The 8309-nt window shown below is 40.3% G+C and overlaps 1 long non-coding RNA gene across 1 annotated transcript in view; it reads right to left on the reverse strand.

Moving 5' to 3' along the window:
• Positions 1 to 8083, reverse strand: part of LINC01375 (long intergenic non-protein coding RNA 1375) — a 41885-nt gene extending 33802 nt beyond the window's left edge. The window contains exons 1-3 of the long non-coding RNA NR_110655.1: positions 7859 to 8083; positions 6925 to 7147; positions 6585 to 6713 (exon numbers count right to left, since the gene is read on the reverse strand). This is a non-coding gene — a long non-coding RNA (long intergenic non-protein coding RNA 1375). The remainder of the gene's footprint in view (positions 1 to 6584; positions 6714 to 6924; positions 7148 to 7858) is intronic.
• Positions 8084 to 8309: the final 226 nt, after the last annotated feature.

The raw sequence follows: 8309 nt of genomic DNA on the forward strand, positions 1-8309 counted from the left end.
ATATATACACCTACTATGTACCCAGAAAAATTAAAAATAAAGAAAAACATAAAAAAGAGTTTGTGGAAGGAGGTTATATTCTAGAGTATGAATTTGATATTGCGTTAAATTGCTTTGGCCTGGACATTCTGATAAAGCACAAAACAAGAATTTGTAAGGGAAGAGGAGAGTCTCTTCGTTAGCAGAGGAGAGAATGCAGACAGTAATATAGATTGAGTTTGCCTAAAAGTAATATGTCATGAATTCATCTTTTTTAATGACTTGAATATAATCCAATCATAATTTTGGGATTACATACCCCTTTGGTGTTACAAACAGATGTCCCAGTTGGATGAAGTCTCAGAAAACAGCAGATTTAATGAAATTTCAACTTTCAAATGCCATTTTTAGTTTGCATGGAGTCAAAGTTGCTTGTTAAGTTGGCAACTTCCAAAATAATACTTGATTTGAAGAGTTAGAAATGTTGTGAACCTTATGCTAGGCCCACTGGGCTCTCTGACATTGACACACAGTGCTTTTCTGAGACAGCCAAGACTGACTTTGTGTTTGTCAAGGACAGCTGTCTATCTGAGGTAAAGGGAAAGCTTAACAAAAAGGTTCCATTCTGGTGACTTCTGTTAAAAAAAAAAAAGAAAGAAAATATGTTCAGTTGAACTGAGCTCAGAAATGGGCATTTGTAAAATTGGGGAATTGTTTTAAGACTATTTATCTACCCACTTAAATACATACTACGTATGTGCCCATTGTGTGCCAGACACCATGCTTGCAGCTGGTCAACAAAGCAGACATGGTTCCTTTCTCCATAGAGCTTTTCAATGAAGGAAAGGAAATATTTATTTAAGTCAAAGTAATTCTAAGGTATTCATTACCTGTCCTTCTGCCCTTCCAACAAGTTGTGCATTTCAAATTATAGATTGTTACCAAGGAGAACAGATTTTTGACAGTGCATTATATTAGAATAAGAAATAAAGGATGTTTGAAGAGTACATTACACATCAGATAGATCTAATGGAAGTAAAAATTTAACTCACTGATGCAAAAGACTAATAGTTATAGTAACAATAATAATAAACGGGTGTTTTCCATGTGCCAGACACTGTGCTAGGAGCTCTCCATAAATTATTTCATTTACTCTTCCCAACAATCCTATATAGTAGGCATCATTTTTATCTCCATTTTTTAAAAAAGGAAAGTGACTTATTAAAAGGTTAGGTGACATACTTGCCCAAGGTTGTTTATAATGTATAGATGAGCCAAGGGTCAAACTTAGTGAGTTTGACTCTGAAATGTCAGACTTAACCCTGAAGATCTCCTGCTTTCACCAGATTCCGTATAAGTGGCACGTATTTATGTGGTCACTATGGACCAGTCTACATAGTCACCCTTTTCATCTGTAGGCTGTGGGGTGAAAGGATTGTTAAAAGCTCTGAGAAGTCCAGTACTGCCATTCAAAACATCACCTTTCATCTCCCACTGTTATCTGATCTTTGGGGTGTTGCTTTTCTGGCTGGAAACTTCTGTGGCTGGTGACATCTTTGCCCAAGTTTTGCCTGAGCCCACTGGTCTCATTCTGCCCACTTGGCCTGGGAGGCTGCACTTGGCTTATGCTACTGGCGTGGTTCCCATGCCTGCCAAATAAGGCTGCATGGAGTGGCGACGGGTGTGTGAGTGAGTGTGGGGTCTGGCCACTGTGCAATCAGGCATGTCAGCTGATGTAGTAGGGTGGGCAGCTCCAGGTGCCAGCATGGGCACCAGCTCTCTGCGAGCCTGCAGCTGGACCAGGTGCCCTGCAAACAGCTTCCACAGCTGGCACTGAGGAATATAATGCTTCCCAGAAGCTTGGAGATGCCAGGAACCACAGGGCCTCAAAGAGGGAGTCACGGGCTTAACTCAAGGAGCTCCCGTGTCTGGGGTCCCTGAAGGGCTGCAGCATTTCTTTCCTTCTCTTCACCTGCGACATGGTGAACAATGGGGCATATCTCATCTCTGTTTGTGTTACAGCTCTTTTAGCCTTATTCAGCAGATCCTGAGTTCTTGTCCTGTGCCCAGGAAGAATGAGGTAGGCAGATAAGTGGAGAGTGAGCATGATGAGGAGGAGCTCTACTGAGTGATAGAACAACTGAGGGGAAACCCACAGGGGGATGCTCCTTGCTGCAGCCAGGGTGTCCTGATGAGTGTTCAGCTCCTAGCAGAGAGGGTAGCTCCTCTCTGCTAGGCAAGTCATCTCAACAAGTGTCCAGCTATCAGCAGAGAGGGTAGCTCCTCTCTGCAGCTGGTTGTCCCATCATCTGAGCAGCTGCCAGCAGAGAGGAGGCCCTAGAGTGGGTGGCTCGTCTCTGCTGGCAGGTCATCCTGTTATCTCTCCATTCTCTCTCTGTTGTCTCTGCAGTTCTCAGCAGAAAGGAGGCCCTAGAGTGAGTTGCTCCTCTCTGCAGCTGATTGTCCCAATGTCTGCTCAGCTCTGGCTGAGTCCAGGGCTTTTATGGACCTCAAAGGGGAGGAAGTATGTGTTTATTGGTCCATGGGCACCCATGGAAGGCCTGGAAAAGGCGTCACAAGATTCTACTCTGGTCTGTGGGACTGGCAGCCCAGCACCCAGCCTTCAGGCCCTCCCTTGCTTGAAAGCAGCACCTTACTGGGGACCCATTCCCTCCTTTCCAGGAACCTCGCTGCTTCCTACTGTCATTCATGGCACCCAGGCTGTAGGTGCCAAGAGCTGCCCTCAGCCACCCCTGCTCAGCTTCCCTACTATGCTCATTAGCCCCTAAAGTCCAGAGGGGGCCAAGGTGGCAGGGGGCTAACATGTCAGCACTGCCCCAAGCATGTGCACACCTCACTGGGCCATGTCAGTGCCTGGGTTCAGCCCTGACTTTGCTCTGAGATCGGAATGGGCACCAAGAGCAGGCAGAAGCCAGCAAGAGCAGCGGGAGCAAGCACTTCCCACTTCTGAGCTTGTGAGGGCAAGGAGGGCCTTCCTTGGTCCCCAAAAGTACAGGGATACCTGAGTCCACAGCTGTGGTTTGGGCAGTTGCAGCTGCACCCAGAAGAGTGGGGTTCCCACCTGCTTCTGGGTCCTGAGAGCACAGGGATGCCCAGGTTTGCAGCCATAGCTTGGTTGGCTGCAGTGGTACCCAGGGAGCCTCTGCCTCAATTTGGAAGGGGCAGGGCTCTCACTTGTCCCTGGCTCCTGCTGGCTCCCTGGAGTGTGCAGCCCCAGCGCTGTCTCCCTGCAGCAGCCAGTGTGATGACAGCAGCTGCTTTAGATGGCCTGCCACTGTCATTACCACTGTCCTTACTCATGGCACAAGGATGTAATTTCTATATCTTGTCAATGCCTCTCAGTGAAAACTCTGTTTAAGAGTCCTGGCATCTGGACTGGGCATATACCTACTAAAGAGTACCTAGTTAGAAGAAGAAAACTTGCAACTCCAATTTGCATTCACATCAAGCAAATATCCAAAGAGATAGAAGTTGTCTTGTAAATGGCAAAACACTAAATATAGCTTAAAAAACACCAGGGCATGCTCAAAGTAAAGAACAGCTGAGATGTAACAGCTTACAACTCCTTTTTTTTGTGTGTGTGTGTAATTGTGTGAGTCAAGCTAGTGTCACAAATATTAAATTATTCAATTAGCAGCACAAGATTAAGCCCATAAAATGTGTTAATGTGACACATCATTTCACAAATGGGATTTTAGAATGGCTTCCTGGGATTCTCCAACATGACAAAAATACCCATTAACTTTTACTGCAGCCTGTCTTAAGATCAAGGCAGAAATCAACTCACAGTACAAGGAAGAATGGGAAGAGGTGGTTGATAGTCAATGTTCTTGAGCAGTGGTTTTGCTTTTGTAAATTGCTTTGTTACTTTCTAAATTCTTTTCAGATATACAAATAAGCTGTGTCAGTTACTTAACCACTTGACAATAATGTCTACTATTTACTGAGTTCTATTCTGGTGGACAAACCGTTATAAAAAAGTTAGTTTTATGCAATGTGTTATTTATTATATATTATTTGTCATATGCCATTCATTATTCATATGTCATTCATTGTTTAGTAAACATTGGAAACAATCCACCTACTGAACAGCTTGGAAATGGGTTAAGTAAACTAGGATGTGTCCACCTAATAAAATAGCATCTGGCTATTACAGTGATATTAACAAAGAGTTTGTAAAAACAAATGAAATAATTATTACACTGAATGAATAAATTAAATTATAAAATCTTATTTTTATAAAATATTAATAGAGAAAAAGACTGGAAGGAAGCATTCCAAAAGGTTTACATTATTTGCCTCTGGGTTGTGAGATATGAGGATTAGTTGTTTTTCTTCTTTTTTCCTTGGTTCCTTCTGTGTTATTCACATTATCTGCCATGAGTGTTATTTTCATAATCTCCAACCAAACTAAAAATCTTATTTAGGAGGCATTTGAATTATTCATAAGTACCAATGGAAACTTCAGTTAGCATAGATAGGTACCATTATGTTTGGGTATTCAAATAAAGTGCAACATCATGCAATTTTAGTATTTTCAGTAAAAGTGATTTGTTCAAAGTATAAAAAAGTATGACTTAATTATGGTCTTTATCCAAGTTCCATTTACAGCACAAGAATTAAGAGTGCCTGAATTGCATATTGACTTACTGTCGTGCTTCCACTGTGTGAGTGTAATGTCTGGGAGCAGAGCCTTAGGAGACACTCTTCTGCTTGCTGCTCAGGTGCTTTTCCTGGAATCCCTATGCTGCCCTCCTGCACCCAGCTCAGTCCCACTCCCACTCCCACTCCCACTCTTTCATGACTCCTCTTAAAGGTCCTTCCTTTAGAGATGTCTTCCCTCACTCCCCTTCTCACTCAACGCTTAGGTGCCAAAGGAAGGTCATCCAACTAAACACCCTGCCAGCACTCTGCATTTTTCCCAGCTGCTCTTTCCACAATGAGTTTGTATCATGATCCATGTAATTTATGTGTCTGTCCTCCTGCTGTACTTTAAGCTCCATGAAAGGAAGGACTGTGTCTGTTTGGTTCCCTGCTGCATTCCCATTACCTAGCACAGAGTCTAACGCATGAGTTCAGTAACTATTTGTTGCATGAATGAGTGAATCCATCACATTTTAGAGATACCATATGTGAATTTCGAATATGTAAACATCCCCATGCAATTAAAATCTTGCTTGAAGGAGAAGCCTGGGAATTGGAACATGATAAGAGTTGGTTGTAGAGTGGAAATGTGAGGTTGCACCTCCCTTCAAACACATTAGCATTTGTGTGTGAGTGTGTGTGTGTGTGCATGTGTGTTAGTCTATTAACCATATTCTATAGTCACAACCGAGGTTTAGTAGAGGCATAGAATTCTGGATGAGTGTGAAGGCAATGGACTAGACTAATTGGGTTTGAAAACCAGTCAGATATTTACTAGATCTCTGAATATGGCATGTCATTTAATACCACTAAGTTTTGGTTTCTTCATTTGCATAACTGCGCTGCGGTACCTATTTAGGTTGTTGTATAGATAAAACAAGATAATGAACATAAAATGCTGAACATAGAGCTCTGAAGAATTGTAGGTGTTCAATAAGTCTCTTCAGCAACAGCAGTTATTGTTATTCCTACTACTTTGTTATTAACAATTTCTAAAGTTAACAATTTTCTGAAACAAAAATTTCTCAGTGACCACTAGATGGCATTAAGGTTAATTTAAAATATAGACAGTATAGCCATTATTCATATCAGTAAAAACTTGTGGTGAAAAGTAATTTCATACATTTTGCTTTAAGTTGTGGACTTAATAAGTTGTGATTTTGCATTATTTTATGTAGAAAAATCCTATAAGAGATTATATTTGTTTCAGCTTTGTTTCCATCAAGGATTCCTCATGCTGCTTCTCTTTATCTTTTTTGAAGTAGGAAAGTTATTGCTGAAAGTTCTGAATGATGCTGCAAAGTAAATGGCCCTGTGGGTGCACTGAGAACAAAATTACTGTTTTGTAGTTGCTGTATGATGTACTGAGGGTCAACAGCATGCCAAACTCAATGGTGACCTGGAGGGAAAGACTCTGTGGGTTTCCCAAGCTGGGAGCTGAAGACAACAGGATAGTGACTATTTCTGAAACAGATGAGTGAATAAAAAAGTGCCTGGGTAAACCCAGGAGAAAACCCAGTCACTCTGCACCCTTCTCAAGAATGCTGCACTGTGAGGAAGGTATCTGTTGTTTCTTAAACTTTGCAGAATGAAATAAATGAGCAACAAAATGCTAATACAAATATTCTCTTCAAAGACACTGGTGGACTGAAAAATTTAGTATTGCTGAGTTTCTTGTTGTGTTGTATCCATTAATTGTGGATATATCATCAAAGTTGTAGAAGAACTATATATTTAGGGTATTGTTAGAAAAAAACTAACTTAGATAACAAGTAGATTTTGATGAGTTGCATGGCTTCCTATAGGCAAAGAGGTACCATGAAACTTTACTGAAATGGAAAGATTAGTTTGTCATGATGGAAATGAACCTGAGTTGGGGAACGGTCAATTTGGCAATTGTGTTCAATCTGTGAGGTAGATTGCCAAATGGTTCAGCTTACCTCCAACTGTGAACTCCATGAGAGTGTCAGAGGCATGTGCATGTCACTTCTGAATCTCCAAAGCTGAACCTGCAGATAGCATATCTCCAAAGATGCCTACACCATCATATTGTGCTCAATAAACCTTGACTGAAAAATAAATGATAAAATATCTAGTCAGTTAGACCAGATAAAGGAATCCCATTGGGTATCAGCAAAGGGGTTCTTAGTCAAGATGGTATAGCATGTTCATAACAGGACACTCCCCTTCTCTTTCAAATACATAAAAGAATATACAACATAAATAAAAACATAAAGAGGGATAAAAAGGCAAAGTCAAGTTAAAAAATAAGGTAAATACCTATATGAACCAGAAATGGAACCCAAGCACAAAGTAGAGAGTGAAGCTGAAGACATCGAATGCTTGGCTGTCCGTTTGAAAACAAAGCAGTAGAGTTGGGAGTTTTGCTCTTCTGGATACACAAAGTAAATGCACTCTTTGTGGGATGTGGAAATGGGCCCAGGCCCACCGCTTGCATGTAACTCCCAGAGATCTTCACCAGAAGAGTGATTCAGAGTGCCCTCTAACAAGAAGAAAAGTGAACCCACCACAATCTAAATGTCTAGGTATTAGTCTTATAGGCTTAGAAAAGTGATTTCTTTTCTAATATAGAAGCAAGTTTTTCTATTTCTAAGAAGTAAGAGCTATAAAATATATGAGTCAGATTTATATACAGCACAGTAGTGTTGTTTAGTATATGCTCATTTATGAACCAGTTAAAATTATTATTCCCAGAATAGTTAATTACTATTTTTGGGAGAAACTGAGAGTAAACCTGAATTTCATAATGAAAACAAACTGAACAATAGATGACAGAAGTGTTCAAAACAAACTGTAAAAATTCTATTGGATTCTAATAATAAGCAGAAATTATAACAATAGCTTGTTATAACTGTGGCAAACAATACCAGCTTCCTAAAGATAAATGGCATCAGCATTTAAATGGTCTTTAGAAAATCCAACATTTTGAAACAGTTAATACTTTGTCTACAACTTCATTTTTAAGTATGCTGTTCCTTTTGTCTTGAATGTCTGACACTGCTATTCATACTTCATGACCTAGTTCATTAGTTTCTTTTATATGTATCACTAGAAAAGTGATTTTTTTTTTAAAAAAAGCAAATTTAGAAAGAAATCATCATTCGGATGATTCAGATAAGGCAAGCTCCCAGACATTACGTTAAAAACCTCCAAAACCCTAGAATGCAAATACAGCTAGAAATAACCAACACACTTTCAAGGGGCTCTCTCCTTTGTTGGTAGATCGAGTGTCCCTTATCTGAAATGCTTGAGACCAGAGATGTTTCAGACTTTTTCAGATTTTGGAATATTTACAGTAATATTACTAGCTGAGCATCACTAATCTGAAAATTTGAAATTCAAAATGCTCCAATGAGCATTTCTTTTAAAAGTCATGTTGATGCCCAAAAAGTTTTGCACTTTAGAGCATTTTGGATTTCAGAATTTGGAGTTTGGAATGTTCAGCTGTACTACCCAGGAAACCAATTATAATCAGAAGTTTGCTTGGCTAGTGTGGAATCAGAGCAAGGGGAATTAGTTATATAATTGAAAAGCTTTATGGCAAGCGTTGGCAAACTTCTTCTGTAAAGGGCTGGGCAGTAAATATTTCAGGCTTTGTGGGCCATATAACCTTTGTCAAGACTACTCAACTCTGATAGTGTAGT

Source organism: Homo sapiens, chromosome 10 (genome assembly GCF_000001405.40).
Source record: "Homo sapiens chromosome 10, GRCh38.p14 Primary Assembly".
Lineage (NCBI taxonomy): Eukaryota > Metazoa > Chordata > Mammalia > Primates > Hominidae > Homo > Homo sapiens.